The sequence below is a fragment of the Homo sapiens genome, chromosome 14 (assembly GCF_000001405.40).
Source record: "Homo sapiens chromosome 14, GRCh38.p14 Primary Assembly".
In the NCBI taxonomy this organism is placed as follows: Eukaryota; Metazoa; Chordata; class Mammalia; order Primates; family Hominidae; genus Homo; species Homo sapiens.
Window position 1 is genome coordinate 70,307,950 of NC_000014.9, and position 19,846 is coordinate 70,327,795.

At 40.2% G+C, this 19,846-nt stretch overlaps 2 protein-coding genes and 1 long non-coding RNA gene across 8 annotated transcripts in view; 1 reads left to right on the plus strand and 2 right to left on the minus strand.

Moving 5' to 3' along the window:
- Positions 1-7,288, plus strand: part of LOC101928046 (uncharacterized) — a 60,419-nt gene extending 53,131 nt beyond the window's left edge. For 2 of the 3 annotated variants that reach the window (XR_007064236.1, XR_943989.1), the window contains 3 exons: positions 5,851-5,905; positions 6,369-6,469; positions 7,177-7,282. This is a non-coding gene — a long non-coding RNA (uncharacterized LOC101928046). Of the gene's footprint in view, positions 1-5,850; positions 5,906-6,368; positions 6,470-7,176 lie in introns of all 3 variants that reach the window. The other variant, XR_943988.2, reaches the window with a different exon arrangement.
- Positions 7,289-17,131: 9,843 nt separating this feature from the next.
- Positions 17,132-19,846, minus strand: part of SYNJ2BP-COX16 (SYNJ2BP-COX16 readthrough) — a 92,010-nt gene continuing 89,295 nt past the window's right edge. For all 3 annotated transcript variants that reach the window (NM_001202549.2, NM_001202548.2, NM_001202547.2), the window contains one exon: positions 17,132-18,500. In NM_001202549.2, the coding sequence (NP_001189478.1) occupies positions 18,384-18,500 (117 nt within the window). In that variant the 3' untranslated portion in view covers positions 17,132-18,383. The remainder of the gene's footprint in view (positions 18,501-19,846) is intronic.
- The window catches only part of COX16 (cytochrome c oxidase assembly factor COX16), a 34,603-nt gene continuing 31,888 nt past the window's right edge, over positions 17,132-19,846 (minus strand). For both annotated transcript variants that reach the window (NM_001204090.2, NM_016468.7), the window contains one exon: positions 17,132-18,500. In NM_001204090.2, the coding sequence (NP_001191019.1) occupies positions 18,384-18,500 (117 nt within the window). In that variant the 3' untranslated portion in view covers positions 17,132-18,383. The remainder of the gene's footprint in view (positions 18,501-19,846) is intronic.

The following is a 19,846-nucleotide window of genomic DNA, read 5'->3' on the forward strand; positions in this document are numbered from 1 at the left end:
TTAGTCTTGCTAGTGGTCTATCAATTTTGTTGATCTTTTCAAAAAACCAGCTCCTAGATTCATTGATTTTTTGAAGGGTTTTTCATGTCTCTATCTCCTTCAGTTCTGGCTCTGATCTTAGTTATTTCTTACCTTCTGCTAGCTTTTGAATGTGTTTGCTCTTGCTTCTCTAGTTCTTTTCATTGTGATTTTAGGGTGTCAATTTTAGATCTTTCCTGCTTTCTCTTGTGGGCATTTAGTGCTATAAATTTCCCTCTACACACTACTTTAAATGTGTCCCAGAGATTCTGGTACGTCATGTCTTTGTTCTCATTGGTTTCAAAGAACATCTTTATTTCTGCTTTCACTTAGTTATTTACTCAATAGCCATTCAGGAGCAGGTTGTTCAGTTTCCATGTAGTTGAGTGGTTTTGAGTGAGTTTCTTAATCCTGAGTTCTAATTTGATTGCACTGTGGTCTGAGAGACAGTTTGTTATAATTTCTGTTCTTTTACATTTGTTGAGGAGCGCTTTACTTCCAACTATGTGGTCAATTTTGGAATAAGTGCCATGTGGTGCGGAGAAGAATGTATATTCTGTTGATTTGGGGTGGAGAGTTCTGTAGAAGTCTATTAGGTCTGCTTGGTGCAGAGCTGAGTTAAAGTCCTGGATATCCTTGTTAACTTTCTGTCTCATTGATCTGTCTAATGTTGACAGTGGAGTGTTAAAGTCTCCTATTATTATTGTGTGGAAGTCTAAGTCTCTTTGTAGGTCTCTAAGGACTTGCTTTATGAAGCTGGGTGCTCCTGTATTGGGTGCATATATATTTAGGATAGTTATCTCTTCTTGTTGAATTGATCCCTTTACCATTATGTAATGGCCTTCTTTGTCTCTTTTGATCTTTGTTGGCTTAAAGTCTGTTTTATCAGAGACTGGGATTGCAACCCCTGCTTTTCTTTTGCTTTCCATTTGCTTGGTAGATCTTCCTCCATCCCTTTATTTTGAGCCTATGTGTGTCTCTGCACATGAGATGGGTCTCCTGAATACAGCACACTGATGATGCGTCTTGACTCATTATCGAATTTGCCAGTCTGTGTCTTTTAATTGGGGGCATTTAGCCCATTTACATTTAAGGTTAATATTGTTATATGTGAATTTGATCCTGTCATTATGATGTTAGCTGGTTATTTTGCTTGTTAGTTGATGCAGTTTCTTCCTAGCATCAATGGTCTTTACAATTTGGCATGTTTTTCCAGTGGCTGGTACCAGTTCTTTTTCATGTTTAGTGTTTCCTTCAGGAGCTCTTGTAAGGCTGGTGGTGACAAAATCCCTCAGCATTTGCTTGTCTGTAAAGGATTTTATTTCTCCTTCACCTATGAAGTTTGGCTGGATATGAAATTCTGGGTTGAAAATTATTTTCTTTAAGAATGTTGAATATTGGCCCCCACTCTCTTCTGGCTTATAGAGTTTCTGCTGAGAGGTCCGCTGTTAGTCTGATGGGCTTCCCTTTGTGGGTAACGCGACCTTTCTCTCTGGCTGCCCTTAACATTTTTTCTGTCATTTCAACCTTGGTGAATCTGACAATTATGTGTCTTGGGGTTGCTCTTCTCAAGGAGTATCTTTATGGCATTCTCTGTATTTCCTGAATTTCAATGTTGGCCTGCCTTGCTAGGTTGGGGAAGTTCTCCTCGATAATATCCTGAAGAGCGTTTTCCAACTTGGTTCTCCCCGTCACTTTCAGGTACACCAATCAGACGAAGATTTGGTCTTTTCACATAGTCCCATATTTCTTGGAGGATTTGTTCGTTTCTTTTAACTCTTTTTTTCTCTAAACTTCTCTTCTCACTTCATTTCATTCATTTGATCTTCAGTCACTGATACCCTTTCTTCCATTTGATCAAATCGGCTGCTGAAGCTTATGCGTGCATCATGTAGTTCTTGTGCCATGGTTTTCAGCTCCATCAGGTCATTTAAGGTCTTCGCTACGCTGTTTATTCTAGTTATCCATTTGTCTAATCTTTTTTCAATGTTTTTAGCTTCTTTGCGATGGGTTTGAACATCCTCCTTTAGCTCAGAGAAGTTTGTTTTACTTACTGATCTTTTGAAGCCTACTTCTGTCAACTTGTCAAAGTCATTCTCCGTCCAGCTTTGTTCCATTGCTGGTGAGGAGCTGCATTCTTTTGGAGGAGAAGAGGTGCTCTGACTTTTAGAATTTTCAGCTTTTCTGCTCTGGTTTCTCCCCATCTTTGTGGTTTTATCTACCTTTGGTCTTTGATGATGGTGACCTACAGATGGGGTTTTGGTGTGGATGTCCTTTTTATTGATGTTGATCCTATTCCTTTCTGTTTGTTAGTTTTCCTTCTAACAGTCAGGACCCTCAGCTGCAGGTCTGTTGGAGTTTGCTGGAGGTCCTCTCCAGACCCTGTTTGCTGGGGTATCACTAGCGGAGGCTGCAGAACAGCAAATATTGCAGAACAGCAAATGTTGCTGCCTGATCCTTCCTCTAGAAGCTTCGTCTCAGAGGGGCACCCGGCTGTATGAGGTGTCAGTCGGCCCCTACTGGGAGTTGTCTCCCAGTTAGGCTATTCGGGGGTCAGGGACCCACTTGAGGAGGCAGTCTGTCAGTTCTCAAATCTCAAACTCCGTGCTGGGAGAACCACTACTCTCTTCAAAGCTGTCAGACAGGGACGTTTAAGTCTGCAGAAGTTTCTGCTGCCTTTTGTTCAGCTGTGCCCTGACCCCAGAGGTGGAGTCTACAGAGGCAGGCAGGCCTCCTAGAGCTGCAGTGGGCTCCACCCAGTTCAAGCTTCCCGGCCGCTTTGTTTACCTAGTCAAGCCTCAGCAATTGCAGACGCCCCTCCCTCAGCCTCACTGCCACCTTGCAGTTCAATCTCAGACTGCTGTGTTAGCAGTGAGCAAGGCTCCATGGGCATGGGACCCTCCCAGCCAGGCATGGGATATAATCTCCTGGTGTGCCGTTTGCTAAGACCATTGGAAAAGCGCAGTATTAGGGTGGGAGTGTCCCGATTTTCCAGGTACCGTCTGTCACGGCTTCCCTTTGCTAGGAAAGGGAATTCTCCGAACCCTTGTGCTTCCAGGGTGAGGCGATACCCCGCCCTTCTTTGACTCACACTCACATGGGCTGCACCCACTGTCCAACAAGTCCCAGTGAGATGAACCTTGTACCTCAGTTGGAAATGCAGAAATACCCATCTTCTGTGTCACTCACACTGGGAGCTGTAGACTGGAGCAGTTCCTATTCGGCCATCCCTTTCTAACTCTTAAACACTGACAGCAATTAAAGCCTCATCTTCAGGCCCCATAGAAGATGCCAATCAAAATAAACTACCTTCTTGAGACACAGGCCCAGAAATTAAAGCCGTTCAACTCCACAAGGCCCAGGGACTATTGTGGAAGAGGTGGGCATGTGAGATTGTGAGGGCCGATTTTAAGAGATAAAATAAGTTCAGTTTCTCTACAAATTAACCATTAATGTCAAAGTCACACCTCTGCAAGACTAGCATATGGGTAAAATTTGAAAAACAAATTTAATTGGCTTCATGCTATTTTTATTAGGGCTTATTATTTGGAAAATTAAGTCTTCTCTCTCAAAGAATGAAGGTTTTCTCTTTTTTGAAATCCTTGAGTTATCACTTTGGTTAAATGAATGACTTACTTTACAATGGCCTGTAATCCCATTTTGTGATATCAAGTGTTTTATTTATTTATTATTATTATTATTATTATTACTTTTTAAAATGGAGTCTCGCTCTGTTGCCCAGGTTGGAGTGCAATGGCATGATCTCAGCTCACTGCAACCTCTGCCTCCTGTGTTCAAGCAATTCTCCTGCCTCAGCCTTCCAAGTAGCTGGGACTACAGAAGTGCACCACCACACCTGGCTAATTTTTTGTATTTTTAGTGGAGATGGGGTTTCACCATATTAGCCAGGCTGGTCTCAAACTCCTGACCTCAGGTGATCCACTCACCTTGGCCTCCCAAAGTGCTGGGATTACAGGAATGAGCCACCATGCCTGGCCTGGTATCAAGTATTTTAAACCTTTGATATTTGACAAACTTTCCAAAATCAAATTATACATTATGTCATTTCTGACCTAATTAATCCTTTAAGATATTATTAATAGGATCCCTAAAGTCAAAAAATGACATGTTTGGCTTATTTGATATAGAAATTATACAGGAAGCATTGTCAAATATGAAATGGTATTTGGTTTTTCTTTGGGCCGTATTTGTATAAATATGTTGCTGGTATGTGTTCCAAAATTATGGGAAACTCCTATAATTCTGATATGACTTAGTGTATGTTATCAGTAATAATTATAATTGTTATGTTAAATTATTGTGTGACACAGAGGTAACAAATTTCCTTGTCAATTGTGTCTTTGACTACGGCTGCCCTTCTTGTCTTGTTTTGGTCCTCTTTAGAAGGTGGTTTTATAATCAGCTATAAAACTCTTAACAGGTGCTCTTGAATGCAGTTTTCTGATAGCTTTGGAGATTGTGACATCAGAATAGAGGAGAAACTTTCAGGGCTCATAGAGAGTTGAAATGCTCCTGAATAACAAACAGAATAGGAATTAAGTGCATGGACTAAACTAATAGAATAAAACGTTGCTGATCCTTTGTTTTGTTTTTCAGAGTCAAAAAGACTTTTAAGCTATTTACAGCTTTTAACAATTGAGTAAAGTATATTCCCTTTGTTTCTCTCTACCTGATTTCTACATAATTTGGGAACTATTTGTGAATATTCTTTTTTTTTTTTTTTTTTTTGAGATGGAGGCTTGCTCTGTCACCCAGGCTGGAGAGCAATGACACGATCTCAGCTCACTGCAACCTCCGCCTCTCGGGTTCAGGCAATTCTGCTGCCTCAGCCTCCCGAGTAGCTAGGACTACAGGCACCCACCACCACGCCTGGCTAATTTTTATATTTTTAGTAGAGGCGGGGTTTCACCATATTGGCCAGGCTGGTCTCAAACTCCTGATCTTGTGATCCACTCGCCTCGGCGTCCCAAAGTGCTGGGATTACAGGTGTGAGCCACTGCACCTGGCCTGTGAGTATTCTTAATTTATGATAATAGTTATTTGCATAAGTACAATAAGAATCTGTTTTCATTTGTAACAGGACACAATTGGAGAAACTGGTTATTTTACCAAGGCTTTGACTGGAATGGTGTGCTTTCCTTTAAGGAATCAAACTTGACTTATGGAGCCAATATAAGCCCCTTGGAAAAACTGGCCTTATATCTTTGTCTACACAGTCCCTGTACAGGGTTCCTGACCTGTGGTAAGTAAAGAATGTCACTTTCTGACAGGCTCAGGAGCCCCAAGTTTATCTTGGAACCTGAAGAAGAGAGGAATTCACCCAACTCATAAGTATTTGATGGTCCAAATCCATGGCTGGGCTCAGCTTTAAAAAAGTCTTATGTGAGATTCCTTCTATGGAACAAAATTCCATCAAAGCCAATTTAAAAGCCTATGTAAAAAATAAATAATTATTCTTGCTGCACTATATACAAATAATCAAGCCAAGTATAATAAAGCAAATCAGTCCTACCATGATTTGTCTTTTGTAAAAATGGAAAACTAGAGAGAGAAAAATTATATTTCAAAAACTGTAGTACACTTAATATGGTTTGGCTGTGTCCCCACCCAAATCTCATCTTGAATTGTAGCTCCCATAATTCCCACACGTTGTGGGAAGGACCTGGTGGGAGATAATTGAATCATGTTGTGGGGGGCAGTTTCCCCCATACTGTTCTCATGGTAGTGAATAAGTCTCATGAGATCTGATGGTTTTATAAGTGGAAATCCCTTTTGCATGGTTCTAATTTTCTCTTGTCTGCCGCCATGTAGGACATGACTTTTGCCTTCTGCCATGATTGTGAGACCTCCCCAGCCACATGAAACTGTGAGTCCGTTAAACCCCTTTTTCTTTGTAAATTACCCAGTCTTGGGTATGTCTTTATCAGCAGCATGAAAATGGATGAATACAACACCTGTTGTTAGATTCTAGTCTTGTCTAATGTTTTTCAATTTTTATTATTTTCTACAGTTTGGACTGAATTCTAATTTTTCTTGGCTACAAGCCTGCAAAATAATGTTTTCCATTTTTTCCTTCTTTTTTTCCCCCATTTTTCCTAATTTGGAACCACCAAAAACTAAGCTGTGCTTTTGTAAAGCCCTGTGAACTGAAGCTAGACAACTAAACTTCAGAAGAAAGTAACAGCAACCTGTTTACATACATAAGCCACTTTCATACCTGCCTACTGATATATGGACTTCATAGTAATGTGGCCTATATTGATTTCCCAGGATTGTTCTTTAGTTTGATGTTGCTTTTCTCCCTTCCTCCCCCTATTTTCTCTTCATAGAATATAAGACTTCACAACCTGCTGAAAATGAGCTTTCCTAATAACTCGGGACCTACCTGTCTAGGAATAAACCATCCTAAACATGAAAGATCAGAGAAAATGTGAGACCAGAGACTCATTTTCTTCTAAAGTCCTTTCTCCAAAAGATTTTTAAAAAGATAAAGGGGGAAATTTGAAAGGAAAATAAATCTTGGGGCCCCCAAATCACTAAGCTAAAGGGAAAAGTCAAGCTGGGAACTGCTTAGGGCCAACCTGCCTCCCATTCTATTCAAAGTCACCCCTCTGCTCACTGAGATAAATGCATATCTGGTTGCCTTCTTTGGAAAGGCTAATCAGAAACTCAGAAGAAATGCAACCATCTGTCCCTTATCTGCCTATGACCTGGAAGCCCCCTCCCCACTTTGAGTCCTCCCGCCTTTGCTTTGAGTTGTCCCGCCTTTCCAGACCGAGCCAATGTTTATCTTCTATATGTTGATTGATGTCTCATGTCTCCCTAGAATTTATAAAACCAAACTGTGCTCTGATCACCTTTGACACATGTCTTCAGGACCTCCTGAGGCTGTGTCATGGGCATGCATCCTCAATCTTGGCAAAATAAACTTTCTAAATTAGCTGAGACCTGTCTCAGATTTTTGGGGTTCACAAGCATGTTATCCGTTAAGTGATAAGATCATAGAGAACTTAAGTGAACCCATTCTGCATACAAAATTCAGTGCATATTATGGCGAGTGGGAGTATCTGAACTTGTAGTTCATCTGGTTTTTACTTTACAAAGATAAGACTAACTCCGGTTAATTCCCATGTCTAGAGAAACACAATATAATTTGGCTCCGCACCTGAGATGCTCTCCAGCCATGATGGTAGAGTTCCTCATTCTAGGGATTATGGACCCAGGCCAAGCCTGCTCCTTGATACTGAAAGTAAGCAGCAGAATCTGCCTAGCAATCCTTAGGGAACCTGTCAAGTGTCTGGAACCTAATACCCAAAAGAGAAGGGCCATTTTATGCTGGCCCTCCTCTTCCAGTCCTGTTTTCTATCTGATGCAGCAGCGCTGGAGCTTTGTGGCAGATGTATTCCTAAGTGGTGGAGGGTGGTCCAGGGAGGGAAGTATGAAATGCAGTTTAAGTAACCAGCTTCTTTGGCGGAGGTTGGGGAGATATTTTCTATAGCAGATAAGAGAAGAATAAATGGTTACAGGATTTCAATACTTTGTTACTGGATATGGACTGGTATATGAAATGAAATAAATGTCCAGACAGGTGCTAAGAATTTAAATAGTTCACTTGTTATACCAAGATTATTTCACGAGATACACGCAATTCAAAACTGAATCCTGCATCTCTCTTCCAAGTTCTCAGTCCAGAGAATGAACTTTTGTGAACAGAGGAAAGGGAGAAATGAAGCTTGGGATTGGGAATAGATGTGTTAGAGGCTAAGAGGTGGAAATGTTGGCGTTCTACCCACTACAGGGACCCACCACCCAAAGAGCACACCATCGCAAGATAAGATGACTTTCCTGTGAAATCCATTCCCCCCTTGAGGTCTGTGGCCTGACATAGATCTGGGACAATCTGGGAGATACACTCTAGTTACTTAATGTTAAGGAACATTAGGGAAATGGAGCCCAAGAAAGTTAAGTCTAATCCTGGGATCATAGACTGGACTCTCAGCACACATGAAGCTTTCAGACATCACTTATAAATAGATACTCCCTTCCCTCACTCAGGCTTCATACCCAGTGGAAAAAATGTGCTCCTGATATCTGTATGTCCCTGACTTGTCTGCTTTTGTTGGGTCTTGAGTCATGGGTAATATTAGGCATATAGCCACTCCCTTTCTCTGCGTTCACACAGGCCCATCCATTCATTCAATAAATATTTTCTTAGCATGTACCTGCCAAGCATGGTTATAAATGCCAGAGATATTGTATCTCTTCTCAGGGCCTCGTATTCTCAGCCACATTCACAAATAGAGACATACAGACTTTATTGGAAAAAAAATTAACTGGCTCCTACACAACACTTTAAACTGAGGTGAACAAGACTGTCTTCACCTGGTAGTCAGGGTAACTGGGTTTCAGCCCAGAATCTTCCACCAACCAGCTATGGGACCTCAGGCAAGTCACCTCTCTTTTCAGGCCTCATCTTCGTCTTCTGTAAAGTGAGACCCTTGGTCTAGGATGGGTGATCTCTACGTTTCTTTCTCAATTTCACATTTTGTAACTCTCTCATTCTTTAATAAATATAGGCCCTGTATCTGTTGTAGGAAAAGCTGAGATTATTTTCTGGGGGAAATTGATAACAAACCTAGATTTTTTTTCCTAGTGAACTGTAGGGACTAGTGTATTTTCTGAGCCACATCAGGAACTGTGTCCTGAGCCCAAGAAATGGTATAGTACAGGCCTCTCGGACCTTCACATACCCAAACTTCAGAGAAAGCTCACATTACAAGCAATTAATATAGCATAGCAAAGGAAGAGAAGAGAGGTGACAACTGTAGTGGCTTCTTGCCCCGCCTTGATGAGATGGGAAGGGGAATCTAGCAGGTGGGGCAGACAAGGCTGCCCTTGGGGCAGTTTGTGCTTCACAGTGTTGTGAAGTCCAAGAAAGAGGGTTTTGTCAAGATTCTTTTTTCTGTGTGTTTAAACAGAGTTATACTACAATTGAATTAGTGTTCTCACCCAGACCCCCTGCCATAAAAATCATCAAACAAGCCTGGAAGAATGTTACTGCAGGGACTTTGCCAGCAGAGTGCTAGGATTTCTGGAAGCTGGGTATCTTCTCACACACAGTGGCCAGCATTGGCTTTGGAGTTTCTTGTTTTCCTAGCACCTGAGGAAAACTTTGATTTGCCCCAGAAAGACTGCCCAGGTCCAGGGCAATGCTATTTGACATCGTATCCTCGGTGCATGGGAGTAAATATGCCCCCTTCAGGTGTGGCACAGACTTGAGACTTATGCTGAGGTCAGGCCTCACAGCTGCCTCCCAAGGCTACTGTCCCAGATGGCCCCTTCCCACACACCGGCCACCATGGAGGGATTAGCATGCACGTGTGTGTGTGTGTGTGTGTGTGTGTATGTTTGTGTCTTTGTGTCAGTATTTCTGTGAAGGAGGCAGTCCAAGGGACCAGCAGGAGGATTTGTAGCTGGTGTGTGTGTGTGTGTGTGTATGTTTGTGTTTTGTGTCAGTATGTCTGTGAAGCAGGCAGTCCAAGGGACCAGCAGGAGGATTTGATTATTACTGCCTAGAGACATCTGACGCAGGGGAGCCCTGGTTTCTTGTGGTTGATATACCTGGGCAAGGAAAAGGGAGCTGAGAAGCAATCAGAGAAAGTTGAGCAAAAAGGATGAAGGCAGGAGGAAATAGCTGAAAGAAGACAGAAGAGCCCAGCTCAGACACAGGTGATTAGCAGTTCCTCAGGGTTCCTTTGGGAACCCTGAGGGTTCCTGAGCAGTTCCTTTGGGGTCCAGGGTTTGTGAGGCTCTGCTGGACTACAGGCATCAGCCACCCCTGAGGGAGGCAGCTCTGCACAAAGAAGATACAGTAGCTGGAGGAGCCAGTTCATCCAGCCAGGAATCTTCTGGCCTCACAGCATCTAAAGGGAAAATGCAGAGAGAACAAGTCAGGATTCTTGATTATGGGACTCCCTGTGGAGGGCAAGGCCCTAGAAAAAGTTGGACATCATCTAAGAGTTCTGGCTTCAAAACTCAGTATTGTGTGGTCTTTGTGCACCCTCTTGTGGAGTGAGCAGTGACTCCTGAAGGCTTGCCCAGACCAGGATCATTTCCGTTGGGAGTATCATAGACCAAAGTCCATCCTCAAAATCTGGTCTCCACTCTCACAAAAGGAATGCACACAAATGTCATCCAACTGAAAGTCCTATTTCAGAAACCTTTTGTCCACTCTCCTTCTATTATTCTAGTAATGATTACAGTAGGCTAAACATTGTTTAAGTTTCAAAAGGCAGAAAACCAGAAATTTTTTTTAAAAAAACAGTATTATATGAAGCAATGCTTGTAGAACAATCTATCATCTGTAAGCAGACTATTTTCCTTGTACTGATCAATACTACTCCTTTATTACCTATCTTATCTTTCCTGTCTCTCCACTGAGTTCCATGTATACCTCACACAGTCACACAACTGTTGACACAGTCAAAACTGCAGTTCGCAGATGAGGCAACTGGAACTCAAAGAGGTTATGTAATTTGTGTAAGATTACACAGTTTGTAAGTGACAAAGTCCAGAGTCCAATTCAGGGCTACCAGTTTACATGGTTTTCCACTGAACTTCACTGTTTGCAGAAAAGAGATATACAAAAACATTTAGATAGATCCTTCCACCCACACAGAATTTATTGCTACTAATTGAACAGACTACTGAGTAATGTTATTAAAATATTGTTTTAGGTGTGACATTTTGATAAGAACTTTTTTTTTTTTTTGAGACAGTCTTGCTCTGTCACCCAGGCTGGAGTACAGTGGGGAAATCTCGGCTCACCACAGCCTCCGCCTCCCAGGTTCAAGCGATTCTCCTACCTCAGTCTCTATGGTACCCACCACCAAACCGGGCTGTGTGGTTTTGTTTTGTTTTGTTTGTTTGGTGTGTTTTTGGGTTTGTTTGTTTTTGTTTTTGAGACAAAATCTTGTTCTTGTCGCCCAGGCTGGAGTGCAATGGCATGATCTCGGCTCACTGCAACCTCCGCCTCCTGGGTTCAAGCGATTCTCCTGCCTCAGCCTCCCAGGTAGCTGGGATTACGGGCACCCAGCTACCACCACACCCAGCTAATTTTTGCACTTTTAGTAGAGGCAGGGTTTCACCATGTTAGCCAGGTTGGTCTTTGGTCTCGAATTCCTGACCTCAGGCAATCTGCCCGCCTCAGCCTCCGAAAGTGCTGGGATTACAGGTGTGAGCACTAATTTGTATTTTTAGTAGAGACAGGATTTCACTGTATTGGCCAGGCTGGTCTTGAACTCCTGACCACAAGTCATCCACCCGCCTCAGCCTCCCAAAGTGCCAGATTAGAGGTGTGAGCCACCGCATCCAGCCGATAGGGGGATTTCTTGAGTTACTTCTTGTGTGGTACAGTATAAACCATCTCCTCTCTTCCCTATGAAATTATTAGTAAATGTTACATTGATTACTAATACTTTGTATTGAAGTAAATTTTTTTTAGGGTGGGGAACTCAAAGACAGTGGTAGGAAACAACCAATTAACTGCATTGTAAATTTAAATGTTCCCATGGACTTTCAAAAACAAAAGAAATCCACATCTTAAACTGAAATGTTAACACCTTACCAGGATCTTGGAAAGCCCAAGAAAAATACCTTCCACATCAGGTCAGCTCAGCTTTGCTGTTGTGGTAGAGAGAGAGGAGAGGAAGAGAAATGAGGCAGAACATTTCAAAGAAACATTCCCTGCCCTTGTGCTTACAGTCTTACCATATCCTAATGCCATTCCTGTAGGTGTTTACTACCCCACCTTCTGTTGTACAGTTAGAGAAAATGAAGTCCAGAAGGAGGCGACAACTTGGCTACGTCTCCGCAAACTCCCAGTTTCCCAAGTGCCCTGCTTTTTAGGCCCCATTGAATCAAATGATATGCCAACACTCAGTTCTACCCTTTATACTCCATGAAACACCCAGTCCTGGGCTGATGCCTCTTATGAAACTGACCAGTAGGGTTGGAGCACTATTTCTCATTATCTCTACCTCTTTGCTGTAGTATGATTAGGACAGTCAAGCAGCAAACAAGGAAACTCTCAGTGTACTTCCACACTTAGGAGTGAGTGTTTGTTTGTTTGTTTGTTTGTTTGAGATGGAGTCTCGCTCTGTCGCCCAGGCTGGAGTGCAGTGGCACGATCTTGGCTCACTGCAACCTCTGCCTCCTGGGTTCAAGCGATTTTTCTGCCTCAGCCTCCCGAGTAGCTGGGACTACAGGCGCACACCACCACGCCCGGCTAATTTTTGTATTTTTAGTAGAGATGGAGTTTCACCTTATTGGCCAGGCTGGGAGTGACTGTTTTTTTTGTTTTGTTGTTAAAGCCAAACGTCTTTGTAAAATTATCAGACTATCCTTTGCAGGCATCAAATTCTTCAGCTTTAGATTCTTCACCTTCCTTTTGCTTTGTCATATAATGACTTCACTTTCTCTTGACTCATATTAGTCTATAGGTATGTCTTTCTTATAGCAACCCAGCACCACATAAAAGCTGCAATTTCAAAATGAGATAAAAAGATAGTTTGCAAAAAGTGCAAGGTTTTCACATCTGCTGGCATAGCTGCAGTGATGGCTTCACAATTTTTCTTTTTTTCTTTTTCTTTCCTTTTTTTTTTTTTTTTTTTTTACAAAGGCCCTTATGCTGGAGTCATGTATCTTGAAATCGTGGGCAACTGCACTGCAGACCTCAATCTATGGTACCTATCAAGCATTTCAACTTTTTATTATAATGTCATGACTTTTATCTGCTTCTTAGAGTACTTTGAGCATCAATTAGTGGCACTCTATGGGTTCCATGGTGTTATTCAAGGTTTAAGATATTGCAGTAAACATGATGAAAAAATATGTGAGAACTGTGAGACATCACTTTTTACTGCAATGTAAATTTACTGGAGAGGAACTGCTTACGTGGAGATGATTAGTGGCATATATATTCATATTTGCAACATATCCTAAAGACTCTTCAATATTTGTTGTAATTTTGTCTTTATTTCTTATTTGAAACAGTTTTAAGAGTATGTTTTTTTTTTTTATACTTTAAGTTCTGCAGAACGTGCAGGTTTGTTACATAGGTATACACGTGCCATGGTGGTTTGCTGCACCTATCAACCCGTCATCTACATTAGGTATTTCTCCTAATGCTATCCCTTCCCTAGCCCTCCACCCGCCAACAGGCCCCAGTGTGTGATGTTCCCCTCCCTATGTCCATGTGTTCTCATTGCTCAACTCCCACTTATCAGTGAGAGCATGCAGTGGTTTTCTGTTCTTGTGTTAGTTGCTGAGTATGATGGTTTCCAGCTCCATCCATGTCCCTGCAAAGGACACGAACTCATCCTTTTTTATGGCTGCATAGTATTCCATGGTGTATATGTGCCACATTTTCTTTATCCAGTCTATCATTGATGGGCATTTGGGTTGGTTCCAAGTCTATTGCTATTGTGAACAGTGCCACAATAAATACATGTATGCATGTGTCTTTATAGTAGAATGATTTATAATCCTTTGGGTATATACCCAATAATGGGATTACTGGGTCAAATGGTATTTCTGGTTCTAGATCCTTGAGGAATCATCACACTGTCTTCCACAATGGTTGAACTAATTTATACTCCCACCAACAGTGTAAAAGTGTTCCTATTTCTCCACATCCTCTCCACCATCTGTAGTTTCCTGACTTTTTAATGATCGTGATTCTAACTGGTGTGAGATGGCGTCTCATTGTGGTTTTGATTTGCATTTCTCTAATGAGCAGTGATGATGAGCTTTTTTTCATGTTTGTTGGCTGGATAAATGTCTTCTTTTGAGAAGTGTCTGTTCATATCCTTTGCCCACTTTTTGATGGGGTTGTTTTTTTCTTGTAAATTTAAGTTCTTTGTAGATTCTGGATATTAGCCCTTTGTCAGGTGGATAGATTGCAAAAATATTCTCGCATTCTATAGGTTGCCTGTTCACTCTGATGATAGTTTCTTTTGTTGTGCAGAAGCTCTTTAGTTTGATTAGATCCCATTTGTCAATTTTGGCTTTTGTTGCCATTGCTTTTGGTATTTTAGTCATGAAATCTTCGCCCATGCCTATACCTGAATGGGATTGCCTAGGTTTTCTTCTAGGGTTTTTATGGTTTTAGGTGTTACATTTAAGTCTTTAATCCGTCGTGAGTTAATTTTTGTATAAAGTGTAAGAAAGGGGTCCAGTTTGTTTTCTGCATATGGCTAGCCAGTTTTCCCAACACCATTTATTAAATAGGGAATCCTTTCCACATTGCTTGTTTTTGTCAGGTTACATAGGTATACACATGCCATGGTGGTTTGCTGCACCTGCCAACCCATCATCTACTTTAGGTATTTCTCCTAATGCTATCCTTCCCCTAGCCACCCACCCCCCAACAGGCCCTGGTGTGTGATGTTCCCAGCATCTGTAGTTTCCTTTTTAATGATTGCCATTCTAATTGGCATGAGATGGTATTTCATTGTGGTTTTGATTTGCATTTCTCTAATGACCAGTGAGGATGAGCAGGAGGGTTGCTTGAGCCAAGGAGTTTGAGACTACAGTAAGCTATGATTGTGGCATTGTACTCCAGCCTAGGTAACAGAGAAAGACCCTGTCTCTAATGTATATATTTTTTTCTATTAAACACATTCAATTCTATAAAATTCCTTCAAAGCACCTCTTTTGCTGCATCCAACAAATTTGGTAAGTTTTATTTTCTATTTCATTTAGTGCAAAATATCTTTAATTTATTTAAATTTCATTACACATGTGTTATTTAGAAGAGTGTCATTTAATCTATGAGTACTTTGGGATTTTCTAGCTATCTTTCTGTCATTGATTTCTAGTTTAATTCCATAATAGTCTGAAGGCATACTTTGTATGATTTTTATCCTTTCAAATTTGTTGAGGTGTGTTATATGGTTGTTCATAGTGATGAATGTTGTTTGAACTTGAGAAGAATGCCTATTCTGTTGTTGTGGAGTACGCTATAGATGTCAATTAGATATAGCTGATTGATGGTGCTCAACTATGTCCTCAATCATTTTCTGCCTACTTGATTTGTCAGTTGCTGATAAGAGGATTGTGTCTCTGTAAGTCTATTCCTATATTTCTCACATATTTGCAGCTCTACCAGTTTTTGCTCATGTATTTTGCTGCTTTGTTCAGTGTATATACATTAAGAATTTTATGTCTTCTTGGAGAGGGTGGGCCCCCTTTATTATTATGTAATGCCCCTCTTCTTCCATGATTTTCAGTGCTCTAAAGTCTGATTTGTCTGAGATTAATATAACTACTCAAACTTTTTGATTACTGTTAACATACTATATGTACTTTTCTCCCTTTCTTCAGTTCTGTCCACTCTGTTGATGACCTCATCAAAGTCACTGTTCTCTTGTTAGTTTTTTAATGCTAGAATTTCCTTTTAATTCTTCCATTTCTTTGCTTTTATTGCCCATTTGTTCTTGCACGTTGTATACTTTTTCCATCAGAGCTCTTAGCATATTAATCATATTTTAAATTCCCAGTGTGATCACTGCAACATCCCTGCCATGTCTGAATCTGATTCTGATGCTCATTTTCTCTTCAAACTGTGCTTTTTGTCTTTCGTTTTTGTTGACTGTTGGACGTGATGTACCGGGTAAAATGAACTCGAGTGAATAGGTCTTTAGTGATGTGGTGGTAATACATGCAGTGGGGAGCATTCTATAGGTCCTGTGATTAGGCTTCTTAATAAGCCTAGGTCCCCAGACTGGACATTCACAAGTGTTTTTCAGTCTTCCTCCACCTCTCCTCACCCCCATTTAGGTAAAACAGGAAGGTTGGAGGAGGCTGGAGTTGGTTATTCCCCTTCCTCCAGTTGTCTAGGCACTGGTAAAACCCAATGCAATTAGGTTCTAGCAAAAGAGTTTACTTTGGGGCCAGGCTTACATTAAATAAAACAGAATTCTCTGGGCTTATTTCAGAATAGTTACTCTCACCTACATCTGCTAGAAGCACAAGGGGATTTTTCTGATATTCACTATGAAAACCAGGTGGGACTCTTAGAGGTAAAACTCACAAGTGTGCCTTCTCAAATCCACACAAGGCTTGGCCTCCTCTCAAGAGATTTTCTCTCAATTAGTCCATGATCAGCCTCCAGGAAGTATTCAATTACCTTTAGATATTCCTACCCAATGCTGGCTCCAGTGGTGGTTTCTGGGCAGGTGCTCCTCCAGGTAAAATATGATTTTCTGGACCTGCCTTTGTCTCCAGTTTTCAGGGTGGTAGTTTGTCCTGTGACTTCAACTCAAAGTCAGAGTTTAGTTGTTCAGCTTTTTTCTTTGTTATGATGGGAATTAAATTTTTCAAACTTTTTACATATCAAACTGGAAACCAGAAGTCCCTTATGCTTTTAAAGAAACTGCCAATTTTCCAGACGAGTTGTACCATTTACATGATACCACCACCATGTGAGATTTCATTTCTCCACATCCTGGCCAGCATTTCATACTGTCACTAATTTTTTTTTTTTTTTAGGTATTCTAATAGATGTCTAGTGATGTCAATGTAGTCTAAAATTGCATTTCCTTCATAGTGATGTCAAACATTCTTTTCAGAGCTAATTTGCTATCAGTGTATCCTCTGTAGTGAAATGTTTCTATGTTTTTTGCCCATTTTCTAATTGGATATTTTTTAACTGAGTTTACAGAGTTCTTTACTCTAGGTATGAGTCTTTTGCCAGATATGTGGTTTACATGTGTTTTCTCTGTCTATATTTTTCATCCTTTTAACAGGGCCTTTGGCAAACAAAAGCTTGTAATATTGATGTGTCAATCTGTCAAGTTTTTCTTTTATCAATATTCTTTGGTAAGAGCTATTCGGTAAGTTGAAGCCTTTCTCCTGTGGTTTTTCCTAAAAGTTTTATACTTTTATGTTTTACATTTAAATCAATGATCCTTTTTTGAGTTACTTGTTTAATGAGTGAATAATAAGTGGAGACTTTTTTTCTCTGAAATCCAATTGCTCCCCCAGATAACTATCTTATGAATCATGTCTATCACAAATTATCACTAGATAATCAACTTAATTTACTTTTTATTAAAACCAACCTGCTGAAAAGAATACAAATTTTGACTAGGAGGAGAAAGGGGGAGTGGATTTATGATTTTATGGCAATTATAACAGGAGTGTTTCAATGGAGACTTTAGGCAACTAGAACTCAGCATGAAACCAGAAGGTAGAAGCTGATAAAGGCAGGGGTAAAAAGGAGAAAATGAGTTCAAAACAACTAACTTTCGGCCAGGCGTGGTGGCTCACACCTGTAATCCCAGCAATTTGTGAGGCCGAGGTGGGCGGATCACAAGGTCAGGAGATGGAGACCATCCTGGCTAACGTGGTGAAACCCCATCTCTACTAAATACAAAAAATTAGCCGGGTGTGACAGCATGTGCCTGTAGTCCCAGCTACTCAGGATGCTGAGGCAGGAGAATGGTGTGAACCCGGGAAGCAGAGCTTGCAGTGAGCAGAGATCGTGCCCCTGCACTCCAGCCTGGGCGAACAGAGCGAGACTATGTCTCAAAACAAAACAAAAACACTAGAGGGCAATTTTGCATGCAAATTATGCTAAGGCATAATTTTTAGTATTATCTTAGTATTTCTCAAAATGTAGTCATCTATGGATTTACTGAACAAATTTGCCATATCTGCTTATAATCATACACTACTTCATAATTTTTGACAACCATAAATAATATAATTTCCTTGACATGTTAATGGTATCATTGTAATTATCATGTGATGCTTTGGAGACTGATTATCATACTATGTGAGGCATTACAAAGAAAATCAAGACTCTTAGCAGACTGTGATCATTTTTCTTTCCCTAATAGATATGAGAGAAAATTACTGCTTGATTTTACTGTGAGAATTTGGATCCAGACCTACTGTCCTCATTAGGAATCAGAAATCAGAGAATCAGAAATCAGAATGAAATATCAAAATGATGCCCTAATGGCTATTGCAAAAGGAATATGTGGGTAGTTGGAGAGTGGAATACGTGACTCTGTTTTTGGAGCAGTATTCACATTTTTTATTTCGAGGTGTAAAATATACGTGGCCAACATTGTTACTTTCATCCACAGATGGAATAGCTGGGAAGTATAAAAACCTGTACATGACCTTTAGTGAAGATTATTTGTCATCAAATTACCCATATCCAAGTTTCCATGGGCCTGGAATTTCCTTTCCACTTGATAGAAGTATATATTAGGAAGTCCAGTTAATAATATTTTTATTTAAAAAAAAAAAAAAGGAAAAAAGAATCAGCAGAGTCAAGTTGTCTTAGTCTTAAGGCTTTCTGGATTTCTTCCTTGGAGGAGGTCAGGATCTTCCCAAGGCCTGGGTCCTCGAATATTCTTCCAGTCATCAAACTTGGAGTCTTTGATTTTCTATAGAACCACAAAAAATTAAAGTATAAATATTAGTATAAGAGCCTGTGGCTTTGATTAGGACACAACTAACTCAATGAATAAATGAGTAGAAAGTATCCGATAGGTCCTCGATTACAACTGTAGCAAATAAATCAACTACAATCATTGATGAAATGTCATCTTAAGATTTAGAACTTTTCATTTGTTACTGATGTTAATGCCTATCTTACGCCACCTTAACCGTAAAACTATTAAAATAGAGAAAGAGTCTACATGCCTTATTTTTGAGAGGACAAGGAAAAGGCTGAAGCTGGGAAAACAAAAGTACAAATCTGAAGGCTGATCCAGCACAGTGACTGAAAGGGTTATCAGGGATGATGGTAGAAAATAAGAAGAAAAGAACAAAGGGTGGAGACCCTAAAGTCTTCTACAAAAAAGAAAAGAGACCAAGATCATTTGTCTTACGCCTGGGCTTAGGAATGAAAAGACTTTCCTACAGCTATCTATCATAAGCAAAACACTTTTGGGCAACTGAAACTAACTGCAACTACATTATGGATCATCCTACCTTCATTTAGTCTGAAGTACCTCTCAAGCACAAAAATAGTTGGAATAAAAGGGAAGAAATAAATGTTTCTTCACCTTTCTCCTACTGACCACCACTCTGACATTAACTTTTACATATCTGCTGTTTTGGTTGTTCTGAAATAATTGAGTAAGATGGAAAAAAAAAGCTGTGAAAACATAGGATAGCTTATATCCAGAGACAGGGAAAATGGAATAAATTTACCTTGACACTTGGATACTAAGCATTACTCTCTTACTAACTAGCTATATAACCTTTGGAAAGTAATTTAAGCCACCTGGGCATTAACTCTCTCATAAGTAACAATGAAAAGGTTGGACCAAATACTCTACATTTGAGAGTCTTCAGCTCTCAAATTCTACAGGTCCTAGAAGAACTAGAAGGAAAATCTACTCCCAGACAAACTCTTCATAGCATCATTACTGGTATAGCACTTGTAGAACTACAAGTTAGCAAGTTACAGGATTTTTTTTTTTAATCAATGGGAAAGTAGTAAATGAAAATACTGTTCACTTATAGTTTTACCAGGAGTCTGTATTACATATATACATGAAGGAACAAAATTCAACTAATTTAGCATACAAGAAGAATTTAGATTATTTCATAAGTATAGTTATGAAATGATCTAAAGTTATTAAAAGATTTTAATAAAGAATAATGGCCATTATCCAGGTAACGTAAGATATGTATGCTTAACAGAACTGAAGAAAATTCTTAAATAACAAGTTCATGTAAAAGTAGTCTAGCCTTTACAGATCTTTGGTGAAGGAGATTCCTT